The sequence below is a fragment of the Homo sapiens genome, chromosome 6 (assembly GCF_000001405.40).
Source record: "Homo sapiens chromosome 6, GRCh38.p14 Primary Assembly".
Classification (NCBI taxonomy): Eukaryota; Metazoa; Chordata; class Mammalia; order Primates; family Hominidae; genus Homo; species Homo sapiens.
Genome location: NC_000006.12, coordinates 30,727,489 through 30,746,686, shown reverse-complemented (window position 1 = coordinate 30,746,686; position 19,198 = coordinate 30,727,489). Strand labels below are relative to the sequence as shown.

At 50.5% G+C, this 19,198-nt stretch overlaps 2 protein-coding genes and 1 long non-coding RNA gene across 9 annotated transcripts, besides 3 other annotated features; 2 read left to right on the top strand and 1 right to left on the bottom strand.

Annotated features, from left to right (window-relative positions):
- Nucleotides 1-2,139: 2,139 nt before the first annotated feature.
- Nucleotides 2,140-3,488, top strand: IER3 (immediate early response 3). The gene is made up of 2 exons (NM_003897.4): nt 2,140-2,378; nt 2,491-3,488. The coding sequence occupies exons 1-2, from the start codon at nt 2,169-2,171 to the stop codon at nt 2,749-2,751; spliced, it is 471 nt and encodes a 156-aa protein (NP_003888.2). The 5' UTR covers nt 2,140-2,168; the 3' UTR covers nt 2,752-3,488.
- Nucleotides 2,473-3,353: an enhancer, noted in NCBI's record as "H3K27ac hESC enhancer chr6:30711111-30711991 (GRCh37/hg19 assembly coordinates)". NCBI's record gives its function as "activates a minimal SCP1, AML or CMV promoter by ChIP-STARR-seq in naive H9 embryonic stem cells {active_cell/tissue: H9 hESC(naive)}" and the evidence as "EXISTENCE:reporter gene assay evidence [ECO:0000049][PMID:30033119]".
- IER3-AS1 (IER3 antisense RNA 1) lies at nt 3,014-3,724 on the bottom strand. The gene is made up of 2 exons (NR_149095.1): nt 3,591-3,724; nt 3,014-3,453 (listed from the first exon to the last, which is right to left on the bottom strand). It is a non-coding gene; the product is annotated as an IER3 antisense RNA 1 (long non-coding RNA).
- Nucleotides 3,725-3,999: 275 nt separating this feature from the next.
- On the top strand, nt 4,000-18,978 carry FLOT1 (flotillin 1). 7 transcript variants are annotated; one of them, NM_005803.4, is made up of 13 exons: nt 4,000-4,160; nt 4,484-4,540; nt 4,820-4,895; nt 4,983-5,073; nt 5,354-5,497; nt 5,889-6,008; nt 6,096-6,191; nt 6,377-6,529; nt 15,587-15,768; nt 15,960-16,005; nt 16,122-16,259; nt 16,501-16,665; nt 18,542-18,978. In NM_005803.4, exons 2-13 carry the CDS (start codon nt 4,498-4,500, stop codon nt 18,569-18,571), a joined length of 1,284 nt encoding a protein of 427 aa, NP_005794.1. In that variant the 5' UTR covers nt 4,000-4,160; nt 4,484-4,497; the 3' UTR covers nt 18,572-18,978. The 7 variants fall into 7 exon arrangements, with proteins under 7 accessions (NP_005794.1, XP_006715010.1, NP_001305804.1 ...); XM_017010157.2 differs by lacking the exon at nt 4,000-4,160 and adding an exon at nt 4,176-4,220 and having other exon boundaries at nt 4,888-4,895; XM_005248780.4 differs by lacking the exon at nt 4,000-4,160 and adding an exon at nt 4,176-4,220.
- Nucleotides 4,235-5,115: an enhancer, noted in NCBI's record as "H3K27ac-H3K4me1 hESC enhancer chr6:30709349-30710229 (GRCh37/hg19 assembly coordinates)". NCBI's record gives its function as "activates a minimal SCP1, AML or CMV promoter by ChIP-STARR-seq in naive H9 embryonic stem cells {active_cell/tissue: H9 hESC(naive)}" and the evidence as "EXISTENCE:reporter gene assay evidence [ECO:0000049][PMID:30033119]".
- Nucleotides 15,721-16,345: an enhancer, noted in NCBI's record as "H3K4me1 hESC enhancer chr6:30698119-30698743 (GRCh37/hg19 assembly coordinates)". NCBI's record gives its function as "activates a minimal SCP1, AML or CMV promoter by ChIP-STARR-seq in primed H9 embryonic stem cells {active_cell/tissue: H9 hESC(primed)}" and the evidence as "EXISTENCE:reporter gene assay evidence [ECO:0000049][PMID:30033119]".
- Nucleotides 18,979-19,198: the final 220 nt, after the last annotated feature.

Sequence of the window (19,198 nt, the reverse complement as noted above, 5' to 3'; positions counted from 1 at the left end):
CTTTGGGAGGCCGAGGCAGGCAGATTGGTTGAGCTCAGGAGTTCAAGACCAGCCTGGGCAACATGGCAAAACCCTGGCTCTACAAAAAATTTTATATATATATATATATATATATATATATATATATATATATATATATATATATTAGCCAGGCATGGTGGTGCTCACCTGTGGTCCCAGCTACTCAGGAGGCTGAGGTAGGAGTATGGCTTGAGCCAAGAGGCAGAGGTTGCAGTCAGCCGAGATCATGCCACTGCACTTCAACCTGGGCGACAAAGCCAGATCCTGTCTCAAAACAAAAAAAAAAAGTTAAATTCTGTGTCCATGAGCAGCTGTCTGTAAGGAAGTTATGGAAATGTGAATCTGCTTTAAGTTGAGTAATTACCATTACTGTAACATTTGTATAATGTCTCACAATTTAGAATGTTTGTCCCATAAATTTGGTTGTTTGACTTACAGCAAGGGGCAAATCTGGGTGGCTGCTAACCTATTGCCTTTGTATTTGTGGCCCTCTGCACCAGCCTTTATGTGAATATTTCTGCACGCTCCTAAGAGAGTAGTTTTGCTGAACTGTCCCTATACAGTCTTTGCACCTTTACTGTGTACATGTGTGTTGGTAGGTGTACGTGGTATGTTTTCCTTTTTTTCCAGGATTGCATTCTTTTTATGGCTGAATAATATTTAATTGTGTATTGTTGTTGTTGTTGTTGTTATTTTATAGTGACAAGGTCTCACTATGTTGCCCAGGCTCCTGAGCTCAAGTGATCCTCCCACCTTAGCCCCCCAAAATGCTAGGATTACAGGCAAGAGCCACCATGCCCCACCATTGTGTATTACTTTTTTAATCTTTCTATCCTTCCCTCCCTCCCCAACTTTTATTTTAAATTCTGGGGTATATGTGCAGGTTTGTTACCTAGGTATACTGCATGATGCTGAGGTTTGGGGTATGAATGATCCTGTCACCCAGGTACTGAGCATAGTACCCAATAGTTAGTGTTTCAACCTTTGCCTTACTCCCTCCGTCCTTCTTCTACTGGTCTCAAGTTGCTATTGTTGCCATCTTTATGTCCATGAGTTCCCAATGTTTGGTTCCCACTTATAAGTGAGAATGTGTGGTATTTGGTTTTCTGTTCCTGAGTTAATCCGCTTAGGATAATGGCCACCAGCCGCATCCATGTTGCTGCAAAGCACATAATTTTGTTCTTTTGTATGGCTACGCGGTGTGTGTCTTCATGTGTGCTCAGGCAGGCAGGTTTGTGTCTGTGTGTGCTAGTGTGTTCATTTCTCCCTTAATCTTGACTATTTCTGTAACAATTTCCTTCTTGGGGAGTTTATATTCTAAGGATACCTACAAGTGCATGAATGCGTGCATATAACTGGGTCAGTATTGCAGCAGGATGGCCTGATCTCCAATAAAAAGCCCTCTTGGCAGGGCACGGTGGCTCACGCCTGTAATCCCAGCACTTTGGGAGGCCGAGGCGGGCAAACCAAATACCATACATTCTCACTTATAAGTGGGAACCAAACATTGGGAACTCGTGGACGTAAAGATGGCAACAATAGCAACTTGAGACTACTAGAAGAAGGACGGAGGGAGCGAGGCAGATCACGAGGTCAGGAAATCGAGACCACCCTGGCCAACAGGGTGAAACCCCGTCTCTACTAAAAATACAAAAATTAGCTGGGCGTGGTGGCGCGTGCCTGTATTCCCAGCTACTCAGGAAGCTGAGGCAGGAAAATCGCTTGAACCAGGGAGTCAGGGGTTGCAGTGAGCCGAGATCGCGCCTCTGCATTCCAGCCTGGCGACCGAACGAGACTGCTCCATCTCCAAAAAAAAAAAAAAAAAAAGGCCTGTGAGGGATCCTGTGGCTAAAGTGAGCCCCTCTCCAGGTGCCACATGCCTCGACATGTGCCTGCAGCCCGGGATCTCACCCACCCCCACTCACGACTCACACACTCACAACGTGCAGTTGGGCGCCTAGGATTGTGCATGTCAAGTCTCCACCCACTCCCTTTGTTTAATCGTCGGAATTTCCAGCCCGCTGCTGCCAACCGCTCCCCAGCTGCGGGAGGAGGAGTTAGAAGGACCCGCCCAATTTTCAGGAGCACATAAATTACCTCTGCCGGCAGCCGACCCTCACTTGGCCTTACACTCCGCTCGGCTCACCATGTGTCACTCTCGCAGCTGCCACCCGACCATGACCATCCTGCAGGCCCCGACCCCGGCCCCCTCCACCATCCCGGGACCCCGGCGGGGCTCCGGTCCTGAGATCTTCACCTTCGACCCTCTCCCGGAGCCCGCAGCGGCCCCTGCCGGGCGCCCCAGCGCCTCTCGCGGGCACCGAAAGCGCAGCCGCAGGGTTCTCTACCCTCGAGTGGTGAGTATCGCCGAAGTGGGCATTCGCGGGGTGCGCTGCCCTGGAGTCACTGGGGAACGACCCGACTCCAGAGGCCTCGACCTGACCTGTCTCCTGTTTTGTCTCCCCTTAGGTCCGGCGCCAGCTGCCAGTCGAGGAACCGAACCCAGCCAAAAGGCTTCTCTTTCTGCTGCTCACCATCGTCTTCTGCCAGATCCTGATGGCTGAAGAGGGTGTGCCGGCGCCCCTGCCTCCAGAGGACGCCCCTAACGCCGCATCCCTGGCGCCCACCCCTGTGTCCGCCGTCCTCGAGCCCTTTAATCTGACTTCGGAGCCCTCGGACTACGCTCTGGACCTCAGCACTTTCCTCCAGCAACACCCGGCCGCCTTCTAACTGTGACTCCCCGCACTCCCCAAAAAGAATCCGAAAAACCACAAAGAAACACCAGGCGTACCTGGTGCGCGAGAGCGTATCCCCAACTGGGACTTCCGAGGCAACTTGAACTCAGAACACTACAGCGGAGACGCCACCCGGTGCTTGAGGCGGGACCGAGGCGCACAGAGACCGAGGCGCATAGAGACCGAGGCACAGCCCAGCTGGGGCTAGGCCCGGTGGGAAGGAGAGCGTCGTTAATTTATTTCTTATTGCTCCTAATTAATATTTATATGTATTTATGTACGTCCTCCTAGGTGATGGAGATGTGTACGTAATATTTATTTTAACTTATGCAAGGGTGTGAGATGTTCCCCCTGCTGTAAATGCAGGTCTCTTGGTATTTATTGAGCTTTGTGGGACTGGTGGAAGCAGGACACCTGGAACTGCGGCAAAGTAGGAGAAGAAATGGGGAGGACTCGGGTGGGGGAGGACGTCCCGGCTGGGATGAAGTCTGGTGGTGGGTCGTAAGTTTAGGAGGTGACTGCATCCTCCAGCATCTCAACTCCGTCTGTCTACTGTGTGAGACTTCGGCGGACCATTAGGAATGAGATCCGTGAGATCCTTCCATCTTCTTGAAGTCGCCTTTAGGGTGGCTGCGAGGTAGAGGGTTGGGGGTTGGTGGGCTGTCACGGAGCGACTGTCGAGATCGCCTAGTATGTTCTGTGAACACAAATAAAATTGATTTACTGTCTGCAGTCTTGAGTGTATCTTTGCAAGCGCCGACTCCCCACTCCTCCCGGCCTTCAGATGGCAAGGACCGGCGGGAGGCGCCGTGGCCGAGTCCCCAGCCCGCGCACCTCCCTGGGCCCAGGAGCCCCTTTTCCTGGAGTCACAGAACCCAGCATCCGGTTGCCGGATGTAGTCTTTCATTGCCCAGTCTGCGGTTTTCCCAGGTAGTTGCCCCGCGGCGAATCCGAGATGTGGCAATCACCCTTACGCCAGGGTGCCAGGCGGAGGTCAAGTCCCTCACCCGGGGGCGGAGCGTGGCGCGGCGTGGGCGGGATTCCCGGCTCAAGAAGGGCGGTGACTGGGGCGGCAGGGATGTGGCCCTCCCCGGGCTAACCAGGCAGCCCGGCTGGGCCCGAGAGCCAGCGGGCGGGCGGGCTGCGGACTCTAGCGGGGCCTGCCGGGAAAGGGGCGGGCCGAGCGCACTGGGCCGAGGCGGGGCGAAGTGGGGGTGCTTAGTCCGTTGCGGGGGGCGGGGTCGCGTCTGCCGCAGCAACGGGGTGCGGCAGGGTGGGGAACGCGGGAGCGGGGCCAGCTCCCAGGAAAGCTGGTCTGCGAGCGGCCCCTGCCCGGCTCCCAGGTCCCTGCGCGACCCCGCCCTTCCCGAGACCCCAGCCGGGCTGCCGCCCGCGTCCCGGAAGGTGAGTGGGGGAGGGGAGATGGAGCCTGGGGCTGCCGAGAAGCAGGGAGAGAGGGGAAAGGTCTGCAGGCCTCTGGGCGCGGGGGACCTTTATCAAAGGGAGCGGCGAGGGGAAGGGAGGGACCATACGCAGGCGGAGAAGAGGTAGCTGGGGATCTTAAGGATTTTGTAGGGAAAAGCCTTAGCGGACCCATGGGTGTAGAAGGGACGGGCCGTGGCGGATGCAGACTGGGAGGGCCTGACGGGAAAGGGAAAGGATGGGCCCCTGTGGACGCCACAGCGCGCCTTCCCCATCCGCAAAGGCTTTCCCTCCCTCTCCTCCAGCTCCAGCCTGAACCATGTTTTTCACTTGTGGCCCAAATGAGGCCATGGTGGTCTCCGGTAAGTACTGTTGTTCCCTTCCCAGCCAGTGACCCCAGAACCCCTGTGAGTCTGGCCTCTGCCCCTTCTCCCTCTCCCTACCAACTTCCCAGCACCAGACTTCTGCCCCTTGATGGCCACGAACTGCCCAGTTTGATTCCCACCATTCCAAGGCCCAGACTGCTTCCCCTCCAGCTCCCAGATTCTCTCCTGTGGGTTGCTGTCCCCTCACCCCCGCCAGTTCCTCAGTCTTCCACATTCAAGCTCTGCCACCGTTCCTCACTGCCCCACACCTTGCAGGGTTCTGCCGAAGCCCCCCAGTCATGGTGGCTGGAGGGCGTGTCTTTGTCCTGCCCTGCATCCAACAGATCCAGAGGTAGGCAAGAAGGGAACCAGGGAAGGGGGACCTCCGTTTTCTCTTTTTCCTCCTCTTCTTACTGTCTGTCCCTTCTTTTTCCCCTAGGATCTCTCTCAACACACTGACCCTCAATGTCAAGAGTGAAAAGGTTTACACTCGCCATGGGGTCCCCATCTCAGTCACTGGCATTGCCCAGGTGAAGCTTTCAGAGCCTTTTCCCCACAGTCCACTTCCCCATCACCCTCTCTCCCAGACATTAAGACATCTTCTGGCCACAGTCTTCTCAACCCTTGCCTGCAGAGAAGTTCCTCTGCTAGTCTCATCTTTTCCAGGCACCCCAAGGCACTTGCCTCCTCCTCCTTTCTTTCCCTGAAATGGAAGAAGCATTTCTTAGAGGGCTCTCCCTTCTCTCTCTGCTTTTTCTCTGACTTCATGAGACCCCCACCACACCTTTCCTACCCCTACTCTGGCTACAGGTAAAAATCCAGGGGCAGAACAAGGAGATGTTGGCGGCCGCCTGTCAGATGTTCCTGGGGAAGACGGAGGCTGAGATTGCCCACATTGCCCTGGAGACGTTAGAGGGCCACCAGAGGGCCATCATGGCCCACATGACTGTGGAGGTTGGCCTAGGGGCAGGGAACCATCTGGAAGGATGTCAAAATGAGGGGGGCCCAAGGCCCACACTAGTCTGTGAGAGACAGTGGATCCAAGAGCATACATCCCGGCCGGGCAGGGTGGTTCATGCCTGTAATCCCAGCACTTTGGGATGCCAAGGTGGGCAGATCACTTGAGGTCAGGAGTTCGAGACCAGCCTAGCCAACCTGGTGAAACCCCTTCTCTACTACAAATACAAAAATTAGCTGGGTATGGTGATGGGTGTCGGTAATCCCAGCTACTTGGGAGGCTGAGGCAGGAGAATCACTTGAACCCAGGAGGCAGAGGTTGCAGTGAGCAAAAAAAAAAAAAAAAAAAAAACTTACATCCCTTCTCCCCACCATCCTGTTATCACAGGAGATCTATAAGGACAGGCAGAAATTCTCAGAACAGGTTTTCAAAGTGGCCTCCTCAGACCTGGTCAACATGGGCATCAGTGTGGTTAGCTACACTCTGAAGGACATTCACGATGACCAGGTAAAACTAGGCAATTGATCCTTCCCCACTTCCTTGCTCCCATCTCTTAAGCCCTCCAAAGGACTAATTTCTACATCTCTCCCACAGGACTATTTGCACTCTTTGGGGAAGGCTCGAACAGCTCAAGTCCAAAAAGATGCACGGATTGGAGAAGCAGAGGCCAAGAGAGATGCTGGGATCCGGGTGAGAGAGATGGGGGTTGCTTAGTGGGAAAGGGGATAGAAGTGGCACAACTGAGAAGAAGCAGGGGTGCTGGGTGAGCAGGGAAAATACATGAGGCAGAAAGAGAACCTTGGTGGGAAGCAGGCTGTCACCGTGGCCTTTCTCCCCCTGCCCTGACATTTCCTACCTGATCTCTGCTTGGACAGGAAGCTAAAGCCAAGCAGGAAAAGGTGTCTGCTCAGTACCTGAGTGAGATCGAGATGGCCAAGGCACAGAGAGATTACGAACTGAAGAAGGCCGCCTATGACATCGAGGTCAACACCCGCCGAGCACAGGCTGACCTGGCCTATCAGCTTCAGGTCAGAGCCACTGCCAGGCCACTCTCTGCCCCTTCCCCATTCCTCTCAGGCTGTCCATCTCAGGACACCACTACACTATTTCTCATACTTTAACTTTGGTCTTATTCTGGCTCTCCATCTCTGGACCAACTCCCCCATATGAGGAGAGATTTAAAAGACTCAGACGTTACAGCTGAAAAGCTTTAAAGAAAAGGCCAGCCGGGTGTGGTGACTCATGCCTGTAATCCCAGCACTTTGGGAGGCCAAGGCGGGCTGATTGCTTGACCTCAGGAGTTCAAGGCCAGCCTGGGCAACATGGTGAAACCGTGTCTATGCGAAAAATACAAACATTAGCCAGGCATGGCAGCTCGGGCCTGTAGTCACAGCTACTTGGGGTATGAGGCAGGAGGATTGCTTGAGCCAGGATGCGCAGGTTGCAGTGAGTCGAGATCACACTACTGCACTCCAGCCTGGGTGACAGTGAAATCCTGTCCAAAAAAGAGAAAAAAAAGGCCACGCGCGGTGGCTCATGCCTGTAATCCCAGCACTTTGGTAGGCCAAGGCAGGTGGATCACAAGGTCAAGAGTTCGAGACTAGCCTGGCCAACATAGTGAAACCCTGTTTCTACTAAAAATACAAAAATTAGCCAGGTATGGTGGCACGCACCTGTAGTCCCAGCTACTTGGGAGGCTGAGGCCGGAGAATTGCTTGAACCCGGGAGACAGAGGTTGCAGTGAGCTGAGACCACGCCATTGCACTCCAGCCTGGGTGACAGAGTGAGACTCCATCTCAAAAAAAGAAAAAAAAAAAAGAGAAGGCCAAGAAGGGATATGATCAATAAGGCTGATCATATGTTTGGAGCAGGCTGTGCCCGTGCAAAGGCATCTGACTGAGAAAGTGGATCCGAGCTCAGATCCGGCCCATGCCCCTCTAATCAAGCAGTGCATTCTGACATGGGTCTGCATCTACACAGAGGAATTTCTGATTTGCACAGAGGCATGCTATGGGCTAGCGGCAGCCCTGGTTAATTAAAAAAGGGTATGAAGAAGGAAAACATGGACTTGGACATTGAATCCTGCAAAGTGAGATATGGGCAGCCCTTGATATTGCCAGGAAGTATAGTTGATCTTCATTCTTCATTATTCGTATCTGAGAATTTGCCTATTCACTAAAATGTATTGGTAACCTCAAAAGGTTACCAATAAAGTCGCAGCACTTTCAGGATCTTTTGCAGACACGCACAGTACCCAGGTGAGGTTGATCAAGGAGATGCTCTGCTGCCTTGTTTCAGCTCTCATACCGTAAGCCGTGTTATTTTCACAGTATATTTACTGCCGTGTTTTTTGCATTTTTGTGCTTTTTATTGGTGAATTCACTCTTTAAAATGGCCCCCAAGCATCAGTGCTGTAGTGCTGTCTAGTGTCCTTTAGTGCAAGCGGGCTATGATGTGCCTTATGGGAGAAATACATGTGTTAGGTAAGCTTCGTTCATGCATAAGTTATACTGCTGTTAGCTGTGAGTTCAGTGTTAATGAATCAACAATATATTTTACATAAGGTGTCTTTAAACAGAAACACATATAAAGCAAGGCTCTATGTTGATCAGTTGATGAAAATGTTTTGACCAGAGGCTCACGGGAACCTAGCCTGTATTTCTTCTAGGAACAAATTAGGTATTAACTAATTCAGCATTCATGGCTACTTTATAGAACAGAACTACCAAGAACAATGAAAATCAACTGTACTTTGAGACCTTTACCCAAAGGATAGCAATATTATGCATTTTGTTTTTGCCAAGAGTTGGTACAGGCTGAAAGCATAATGAAGGTAAAAACATCTTTTGTTATTATGTTAAATTCCTGGGTGACTTGACAGGTTGAACATGGCATACAGCTTTGCAACTCAAACTGTGTTCTACCCAGCAGCAGCTGCAGCATCACTGCGAAGCTTGTTAGAAATACAAAATTGCAGGCCCTGGCCCTGACCAGCTGAATCAGAACCTGCATTTTAACAAAATCTCAAGGTGAATTCCTAGGTGATTTGTATGCACATTGGAGTTTGAGTTTGAAAAGGGTTACCATGATGGAAACTGCTAGCTTGCAGTGAAGCTATGGATAAGGTTCTTAACCTTCTAAACATGACCTTACTTGTCTGCAGATTAAGGGATTGGACTGGTTGGACTCTTTTCAACTTTTATCAGTTTCTCGTTATGCACCAGGCAGTGTGCTAGGTGTTCAGGAAAGAAGGATTTATTCAACAAATATCTGTTAAGTGCCTTCTATGTGCTAGACACCATTTTGGAGGTGAGGCTATAAATATGGAGGTGAGGCAGAAAAGATTCCTGCCCTTATGCAGCTTACATTATGACACAGGAAACAGCTAGTAAGCAAGTAAATGACCTTCCCAGGCTATAATTCTTGTTTAGGTGCTGTGAAGGAAATAAACAGGGTGATGTGAAAAACTGTGGGAGGGGAGTTAGTATATTAGGTTAGCGGGTGGTAGAGAAAGTTTCTATGAGGAAGTGGTGTTTGAGATCAGACTTGGAGATAAGAAGGAACAATGTACAGTTCTGAGCCAAGAATATTCTAGCCTGTGCTTTTTAAGTAGTCATACTTAAAAAGTGGCTGGGCGCGGTGGTTCATGCCTGTAATCCCAACACTTTGAGAGGCTGAGACAGGAAGATCACTTGAGGCCGGGAGTTTGAGACCAGTCTGGCCAACAGTGAAACCCTGTCTCTACCAAAAATACAAAAAATATTAGCCGGGTGTGGTGGTTTGAGCCTGCAGTTCCAGCTACTTGGGAGGCTGAGGCGTGAGAATCGCTTGAATCCAGAAGGCACAGTGAGCCGAGATTGCGCCACCGCACTCCAGCCTGGGCGACAGAGCGAGACTCCTTCTAAGATAGATATATGGATGGATGGATGGACGGATGGACGGACGGACGGACGGACGGACGGACGGACGGACGGACGACAGACAGTCAGTCAGTCAGTCAGTCATACGTGGCTTGTGGCTAGGCAGGGGACCAGTAAGTGCAAAGGCTGTGAGGTGGAGTCAGAAAGGAGGTTTCTGATCTGGGGGCGCTGGTGTGCTGTGAGTGAGGAGGAAAGGCAGGCAGGGCCAGATCACAAAGGGTTTGTGTGGTCACGATGGAGACACAGAAGAGAACTGAAAGCACAGTGGAAAGCTATTGGAGAACTTCAAGCAGAAAGGTGCCATGGTCTTATTTATATTTGTATAGGGATCAGTCTGGTTGCCTTGTGGAGAACGGGCAAAGAGAGGAAGCAAGGCCGGGTGCGGTGGTTCACACCTGTAATCCCAACACTTTGGGAGGCCGAGGTGGGCAGATCACGAGGTCAGGAGATCGAGACCATCCTGGCTAACATGGTGAAACCCCGTCTCTACTAAAAATACAAAAAATTAGCTGGGCGTGGTGGCAGGCACCTGTAGTCCCAGCTACTCGGGAGGCTGAGGCAGAAGAATGGCATAAACCCGGGAGGCGGAGCTTGCAGTGAGCCGAGATCGCGCCACTGCACTCCAGCCTGGATGACAGAGTGAGACTCTGTCTCAAAAAAAAAAGCAAAAGATGAGTTGGGCTCTTTTTCAGAGATGATGGATTAAACAAATGTAGCTAATTTTACTCTCTCCTAAAACCTCACTAAAGCCAAAATGATTTTTTTTTTTTTTGAGATGGAGTCTCGCTCTGTCGCCCAGGCTGGAGTGCAGTGGCGCGATCTAAAATGATTTTTTTTAAGGTAAAGATAGAGGCTTGTCCAAAGGTAGTGAGTTATCTCAATTGATTGTTCAGTCAGTTACAGATTGAACTCCTTGTTCTACTCTTTACCTACTTCTCACTATTGCACTTGATTAGTCTTTCTTTCTTCCTTTCTTTCCTTCTCTTCTCTTCTTTCTTCTCTCCTCTCCTCTTTGAGACCGGGTCTTACTCGGTCCCCCAGGCTAGAGTGCAGCGGTACAATCTCAGCTCACTACAGCTTCAACTGCCTGGGCTCAAGCAATACTCCCACCTCAGCTTCCTGAGTAGCTTGGTCTACAAACATATGCCACCACGCCTGGCTAATTTTTGTATGTTTTGTAGAGACGGAATTTCACCATGTTGCCCAGGCTGGTCTCAAACTCCTGGGCTCAAAGGATCCTTCCCGCCTCAGCCTCCCAAAATGCTAGGATTACAGGCGTGAGCCACCATGCCCAGCTGACTAGGCTTTAAAAAAAAAAAAGATGGAGAAAATAGGAACGGAAACCAGAGCATCATTTTGGAAACTGGAAGTCAGTAGTAATTGACTAAGCAGGTATGACACAGCTGAGCTTGAAACCTGCAAAAGGGAAAACAATGAAATGATCTGAGGCTCAGGAGCTGGCAGCACCCAGTGCTTCTCCAGCTGTGGTAGACTGGTTAAATAAGAGGAACATGTGAAAAGCACCTTCTCAGAGCCCCTCACTGCCTCTGGGTAATGGTTCCTGCCCTGCTCCAACAGACATCTGGAGGTTTATTATCTTATTTATCTATTTTATTTATGTTTTTTTTGAGACAGGGTCTCTCACTCTGTTGTCCAGGCTGGAGTGCAGGTGCAGTGGCGCAGTCTCGGCTCACTGCAACCTCTGCCTCCTGGGTTCAAATGATTCTCGTGCCTCACCCTCCCAAGTAATCCTCAACTGGGATTACAAGTGCCCACCACCACGCCCAGGTAATTTTTGTATTTTTTTTTTTTTTTTTAGTAGAGAGGGGTTTCACCATGTCGGCCAGGCTGGTCTCGAACTGCTAGCCTCAAGTGATCCATCCACCTCAGCCTCACAATGTGCTGGGATTACAGGTGTGAGTTACCATACCTGCCATTGGAAGTCTATTATCTGAAGAGAGTAGACTAGAGGATGTGATGGGGGCTGGCCCAGCACAGGTGAGGACCTAGATAGTTTACCAGTAACAGGGGCATGAAATGACTATAACTTTCATGAATGCTAAATACTGAGAGCCAACCCCAACCCCAACCCCCTCAACCCCACTCAGCTCCCAGAACTTCCATCTTCCAAAAAAGAGATCAGAAGACTGCTCTGGGGAACATGACCAATCCAAAAAGAAATAACTTAAAATCCTGAATCAGATGTTTCTCCGTACATGGCCTATCCAGATCACCGTAGGGTGAAGCTCAAAGTCAGCAAGCCTCACCCACATACTCAGAGCTTCCTTTCAGTGTTGAGACCTTCTTCCCTCTGAGCAGATGACAAAGGAGTTTGAAACCAGCCTGGCCAACATGGTGAAACCCCGTCTCTACTAAAAACACAAAAATTAGCTGAAATGGTGACTGTAATCCCAGCTACTCAGGAGGCTGAGGCAGGAGAATCACTTGAATCCGGGAGGCAGAGGTTGCAGTGAGCTGAGATCGTGCCATTTCATTCCAGCCTGGGCAACAGAGCAAGCCATCACAGATTTGGGAGCAACCAAGAAAGCCAGGGACAGGGTATGCTTGGTAACCTGGCAAGAGCTGACAAAGGGGAAAAATAAAACCCCACAGAAAGAAGCAGGGAAGTAAGGGAAAGGGACTAATAAGAGTCAAGCAGGGCCAGGGGTGTTGGCTCATGCCTGTAATCCCAGCACTTTGGGAGGCCAAGGTGGGTGGCTCACGAGGTCAGGAGATCGAGACCATCCTGGCTAACACGGTGAAACCCCAACTCTATAAAAATACAAAAAATTAGCCAGGCGTGGTGGTACGCGCCTGCAGTCCCAGCTACTCGGGAGGCTGAGGCAGGAGAATCACTTGAACCTGGGAGGCAGAGGTTGCAGTGAGATGAGATCATGCCACTGCACTCCAGCCTGGGTGACAGAGCGAGACTCCATCTCCAAAAAAAAAAAAAAAAGTCAAGCACATGCAAATGTGGCATGACTTATTGGGAGCAGAAACATTCTGAGAAAAATTATATAAAAATGAGGTTTTAGATTGAAATGGTCTACTAAGTGCCCAATGCAATGAATGAAAAATATATACATTGAAACATAACACTGTGAAACTTAAGAATGCTGAGGACAAAAAATATGAAAGCTTCTAGAGAGAGAGAGATCTCAAAGAGGCAGGCTTCAAAATGACTTCAGATTCCTTTTTTTTTTTTTTTTTTTTTTTTTTCAGAGACAGGGTCTTGCTCTGTTGTCCAATACAGTGGCATAAACAAGGCTCACTGTAACCTCAACCTCCCAGGCTCAAGTGATTCTCCCACCTCAGCCTCCCCAGTAGTTGGGACCACAGGGGCACACCACCACGCCCAGCTAATTTTTAAATTTTTTTCTAGAGGTGAGATCTTGCCATATTGCACAGGCTGGTCTTGAACTCCTGGGTTCAAGTTATCCTCCCACCTTAGCCTCCCAAAGTGCTGGGATTATAGGCATGAGCCACTGCATCAAGCCCAGCTTTCTTTTCTTTTTTTTTTTTTTTGAGATGGATTTTTGCTCTTGTCACCCAGGCTGGAGTGCAATGGCGTGATCTCAGCTACTGCAACCTCTGCCTCCTGGGTTCAAGCGATTCTCCTACCTCAGCTTCCCAAGTAGCTGGGACTACAGGTATGTGCCACCATTGCTGGCTAATTTTTGTATTTTTAGTAGAGACGGGGTTTCACCACGTTGACCAGGCTGGTCATGAACTCCTGACCTCAGGTGATCTGCCCACCTCAGCCTCCCAAAGTGCTGGGATGACAGGCATGAGCCACCATGACTGGCCCAAGCCCAGATTTCTTAAAAAGCTAGAAAACCATGGAGGAATGCCTTCAGAATTCTGATGGAAAGTTAATCCCAACATAGCAGCCTGCTTTCAGCCTAACTGGTATTAAAATAGAAGGGTAGAGGCCGGGTGCAGTGGCTAACGCCTGTAATCCCAGCACTTTGGGAAGCCGAAGCAGGTGGATCACCTGAGATAAGGAGTTCAAGACCAGCCTGGCCAATGTGGTGGAACCCCATCTCTATTAAAAACACAAAAATTAGCTGAGCGTGGTGGCAGGCACCTATAATCCCAGATACATGGGAGGCTGAGGCAGGAGAATTGCTTGAACCTGGGAGATGGAGATTGCAGTGAGCCAAGACTGCGTCACTGCACTCCAGCCTGGGTGCCAAGAGCGAAATTCCATCTCAAAAAAAGGTAGAATAAAAATCTCAGAGAAAGCAAGACCTCAGAAAAAATATTGTCTTTATATTCTTTCTGAGGAAGCTTCTGGAGGTTGAGTTTCACCAAAAGGTGGGCATAGACAGGAAGGAAAAAGAAACAGACAAATGGTTGCCTAAGGGACACAGGAGAGAGGTGATCCTGCACACCGGTGTAGAGGGCAACGAGGCCAGTTTGGAACGGGTTTGAAAATTTAGGGTGAAAGACAGTACAGAGTGCCGTCTCCAGAGCTATGCTTCTCTCTGGAGTGAACAGATGGGCCCGGGGGAAGGTAGGAGGCAGGGGAAGCATCACATGTATTGATGAGACCTACAATGATGATGGTGCATGGCTGAGCCTGAGCAATGGGACAACGAAGGCATGTGTTCTGGCTGGGTGTGATGGCACATGCCTGTAACCCCAACACTTTGGGAAGCCGAGGCAGGTGGATCACGTGAGCCCAGGAGTTTGAGATCAGCCTGGGCAACATAGAAAACCCTGTCTCTACAAAAAGTACAAAAAATAGCCGGGTGTGCTGGTTCACACCTGTAGTCCCAGCTACTCTAGAGGGGGAGGCGGGAGGATCATCTGAGCCCAGGCAGGTCAAGGCTGCAGTGAGCCATGATTACGCCATTGAACCTGGGTGACAGAGTAAGATGATGTCTCAAAAAGAAAAAAAAAATGTGTTCCTTGCCTGGCACCTCTCCTCACTAGCATCTTGATAAGAGCCTTCTGATTCCCTCACACTGCAAGGAATAAGAAGATGAAATCTAGGCTGGGTGCGATGGCTCATGCCTGTAATCCCAGCACTTTGGGAAACTGAGGCGGATGGATCACTTGAGATCAGGAGTTTGAGACCAGCCTGGCCAACATGGTGAAACCCCGTCTCTACTAAAAAAAATACAAAAATTAGCCAGACATGGTAGCACATGCCTGTAGTCCCAGCTACTTGAGAGGCTGAGGCAAGAGATTAGCTTGAACCTGGGAGGTGAAGGTTGCACTGAGCTGATCGTGCCACTGCACTCCAGCCTGGGCAATAGAGCGAAACTGCCTCAAAAAAAAAGAAAGAAATCTGCCTAAATAAGAGGAATTCTATGAATACACACATTCTTGTAGATGTTCAGAGTATCCCTGGAAGGATACACAAGAAGCTGGTCTTGGTGGTTTCTCTGGGAAAGGGACCCAGGTGGTTTGGAGAATGAGGAAGAAGCCTCGTGGTTCACTTTTTTTTCTGTTAAATCTGCACCATGTGCAAAAGACAAAAAAGATCACCTGTCCCCACCCCCACAAAAAATAAGTCAGCTATTGCAGTAGCCTAGGCTAGCACTAAGGTTATCGCAGCAACAGTGGGGGGATTTGAGCAAGACTGGAGATAGCAGAAAGCCAACATGTGCTCAGTGCCCTCAAGGTATTTATACTCTAGAAGGGGGCACACGTGGGAAAAATAGATTAAACGGGGGCTCATCAGAGAAACACTGGACTCCACTGGACTGGCCAAGCAGACAGGAGGGAACCCACCTTCATGCACCTGCTCCTTTTTTTTTTTTTTTTTTTTTGGAGATGGAGTCTTACTCTGTTGCCCAGGGTGGAGTGCAGTGGCGTGATCCCAGCTCACTGCAACCTTCGCCTCCCAGGTTCAAGCAATTCTCCTGCCTCAGCCTCCCGGGTGGCTGGGACTACAGGCATTCGCCACCACACCTGGCTAATTTTTTGTATTTTAGTAGAGACAGGGTTTCACCATGTTGGCCAGGCTGGTCTCGAGCTCCTGAACTCAGGCAATCCACCCTCCTTGGCCTCCCAAAGCGCTAGGATTACAGGCGTGAGCCACCGCGCCCGGCCACCGGCTCCTATTTTTATATCCCACTCTGGAGCTCTGGTTCCCGGGCACTTGCTCTTCACCTCTGACTCAGAGCGTGAACCTGACTTCACCCTCCTACCCAGGTGGCCAAGACTAAGCAGCAGATTGAGGAGCAGCGGGTGCAGGTGCAGGTGGTGGAGCGGGCCCAGCAGGTGGCAGTGCAGGAGCAGGAGATCGCCCGGCGGGAGAAGGAGCTGGAGGCCCGGGTGCGGAAGCCAGCGGAAGCGGAGCGCTACAAGCTGGAGCGCCTAGCCGAGGCAGAGAAGTAAATGTCCCCTCCCTGACCCTGCCTAGCTCACTTGCCACCTAGGCACCCCAAGATGGAGTGCTGAAGCCTTCACCACCTGGACTCCTATGGATTTCAGGTTTCAGGAGCGTCTGCCTCTGCAGCACTGGGCCTTTCTCCTGGGAGTAAGGGCTGCTGGGCTCCACCCTCCACTTCCCTTCTGTCCACAGGTCCCAACTAATTATGCAGGCGGAGGCAGAAGCCGCGTCTGTGCGGGTGAGTTAAGAGGCAGTTCCATGCTGGCTTGTGGAGAGGGTGGGGGTTGCTGCTTGATCGGGGATTTCTTGTTCTTAATGATTTCCGTCAATCTCACAAGCATCCTTAACCCTCAGATGCGTGGGGAAGCTGAGGCCTTTGCCATAGGGGCCCGAGCCCGAGCCGAGGCTGAGCAGATGGCCAAGAAGGCAGAAGCCTTCCAGCTGTACCAAGAGGCTGCTCAGCTGGACATGCTGCTAGAGAAGCTGCCCCAGGTCTGGAGGTCATGTGGGCACCAAGAAAGGAGGAAATAGAACCAGGGACTAAGGGGTGGGGTGTAGTGAGGGGCTTAGGGAGAAACAGCCTAGGGGGACTCTAAATTAGGGGTGGGAATTATTAGTGACCAAAGTGAGGAAGGATGATCAGTGGAACGAGGACCTTAAAACCCAGAGTAAGTTGTTTTATGAGGAATGTGGTCAGATCATGGGCACTGAGTGGGTGTCTCTCTCCTGCCAGGTGGCAGAGGAGATCAGTGGTCCCTTGACTTCAGCCAATAAGATCACACTGGTGTCCAGCGGCAGTGGGACCATGGGGGCAGCCAAAGTGACTGGGGAAGTACTGGACATTCTAACTCGCCTGCCAGAGAGTGTGGAAAGACTCACAGGCGTGAGCATCTCCCAGGTGAGGTCTCAGGTTGGAGCTGAGGAGAATTGCTAGGTTCCTGTGTTGTGTGACACAGTATGCCTAGCATTTAACCAGCATCCAGGCCTGGGAGTCATTGATGTTTATTAATCACTTTCTGTGTGCCAGACACAGTGCTAAGCTTCTACATAAATGAGTTGTTTTAAATCAAACTACCATTAGGGTATATAGGATTTTACAAAGTCCAGAAACTCAACATCCAGCATGTTCCTACTCATTCTGCTAGTGCAGCTGGAGTGAAATCCAGGTCGACTGTCTCTGCAACCTGTGCTTGTGGTCACCCCACTAGTATAGGGAACTAGTTGCAGCCTATTGACAGTTAATTAATTCTAGGGCATATCACTGCTTTTCTCAGCGCCCCAGTTAATTCACCTGTAGATCATGGTAGAAGTCAGCAAACAGGCTCTGGAACCACTGTTTTGTTGCGAATCCTAGCTACAATGCCTGCTAGCTGTAATCTTGGACAAGTAATCAACCTCTCTATACCTGTTTCCTCATCTTAAAATTGGGTTAATAATTAGAAACTACCCTGTTGAATTGTTGAGGGGCTCGAGCAAATATTTGCAGTGTTTAGAATAGTGCCTGGTATATAGTAAGCATTATGTGTATGTTAAAGAAATGGGGCCAGGTGCAGTGGCTTACGCCTGTAATCCCAGCACTTTGGGAGGCTGAGGCAGGCAGATCACCTGAGGTTAGGAGTTGGAGACCAGCCTGGCCAACATGGTGAAACACCATCTTTACTAAAAATACAAAAAAAAATTAGCCAGGCTTGGTGGTGCATGCCTGTAATCTCAGCTACTCGGGAAGCTGAGGCAGGAGAATTGCTGGAACCCAGGAGCCGAAGGTTGCAGTGAGCTGAGATCACACCACTGCACTCCAGCCTGGGTGACAGAATAAGACTCTATCTCAAAAAAAAAAAAAAATTCCAGGCGCGGTAGCTCATGCCTGTAATCCCAGCACTTTGGGAGGCTGAGGCGGGCGGATCACGAGGTCAGGAGATTGAGACCATCCTGGCTAACACAGTGAAACCCCGTCTCTACTAAAAATACAAAACAGCCGGGCGTGGCGGTGTGTGCCTGTAGTCCCAGCTGCTGGGGAGGCTGAGGCAGGAGAATGGTGTGAACCTGGGAGGCAGAGCTTGCAGTGAGCCGAGATAGCACCACTGCACTCCATCCTAGGCAACAGAGCAAGACTCTGTCTCAAAAAAAAAAAGAGAAAGAAATGCATATTCGGGCTGGGTGCTGTGGCTCACACTTGTAATCCCAGAACTTTGGGAGGCCAGGGTGGACGATCAGCTGAGGTCAGAAGTTTGAGATCACCCTGGCCAACATGGTGATACCCCATCTCTACCAAAAATACAAAAATTAGCTGGGTATGGTGGCGCATACCTGTAATCCCAGCTACTCGGGAGGCTGAGGCAGGAGAATCACTTGAACTCAGGAGGCGGAGGCTGCAGTAAGCCAAGATCGCACCACTGCATTCTAGCCTGGGTGATAGAGTGAGATTCCGTCTCAAAAAAAAAAAGAAAAAAAAAAAGCGTATGTAAATAAAAGCACTGGATCATACCAATGACCTTCAAGCTGGGTTCCTTGGAGCCTCCTGGAGGCCTGCAGTAGAATATTCAGAGCTAAGGAGAGTGTGCAAACAAGGCTCTGCCCCCTCTCCTCTCTTCAGTGATTTATTGTATGTGGGTCCTGATGTCTTTGTTTGGGGAAACAGGTGGTAGGGCACCAGAAAGAACCCTGGCCGTGTGTGTTCTGCCTATAGCCCATTCGTCTAAACTGGGGCCCGGGAGAGTAGGGGCCTCAGCCTCCCGAATGTTCCCAAGTGTCATCTACTGTTGTCTTTTTGCCAGGTGAATCACAAGCCTTTGAGAACAGCCTGAGCCTTCAGCCCTCACAGATGCCCAGCCTCATAGCTGAAGTTGCCTGAATGATCCTCCTGTTGCATGTAACCCACTGGCCTCCCTGAGCATGTCCATTGACAGTGAGGTCCCACCCCTCATCTCTCCTTGCCAAATAGTTTGTGCCTTGTCTTGAAGGGGGTTGCTCCCCTTGCCAACCTCACACTGCTATGATTGCCAACTCCAGCGGTCCCATGTCAGCCTTCTGATGATCCCACTCCACCCCACCTCAACTTATTTAACTTCCTAATTAAATCAGACTGTTTGAGCCTGTTGTCTAGAATATTTTCCTGACCAAGACTGAGGGATGGGCTGGAGGTTTTCAACTTTGCTACCCAAATAAATTGCTGTAAGTAAGTACTAATAAAACAGAAGCAACTGGAAATTAATGCTTGGCCCGGCACAGTGGCTCATGCCTGTAATCCCAGCACTTTGGGAGGCCAAGGCAGGCAGATCATCTGAGGTCAGGAGTTCAAGACCAGCCTGGCCAACATGACGAAACCTTGTCTCTACCAAAAATACAAAAATTAGCCAGGCAGGGTGAAACATGCCAAGTAGTAGTCCCAGCTACTTGGGAGGCTGAGGCAGGAGAATTACTTGAACCTGGGA

Coding starts and splice junctions, on each gene's coding strand:
- FLOT1 (NM_005803.4), top strand. CDS start 4,498: ATGTTTTTCACTTGTGGCCCAAATGAGGCCATGGTGGTCTCCG. Junction 4,541..4,819: donor TGAGGCCATGGTGGTCTCCG/GTAAGTACTGTT, acceptor CACACCTTGCAG/GGTTCTGCCGAAGCCCCCCA. Junction 16,666..18,541: donor CAGGCGTGAGCATCTCCCAG/GTGAGGTCTCAG, acceptor TCTTTTTGCCAG/GTGAATCACAAGCCTTTGAG.
- IER3 (NM_003897.4), top strand. CDS start 2,169: ATGTGTCACTCTCGCAGCTGCCACCCGACCATGACCATCCTGCAGGCC. Junction 2,379..2,490: donor GGGTTCTCTACCCTCGAGTG/GTGAGTATCGCC, acceptor GTCTCCCCTTAG/GTCCGGCGCCAGCTGCCAGT.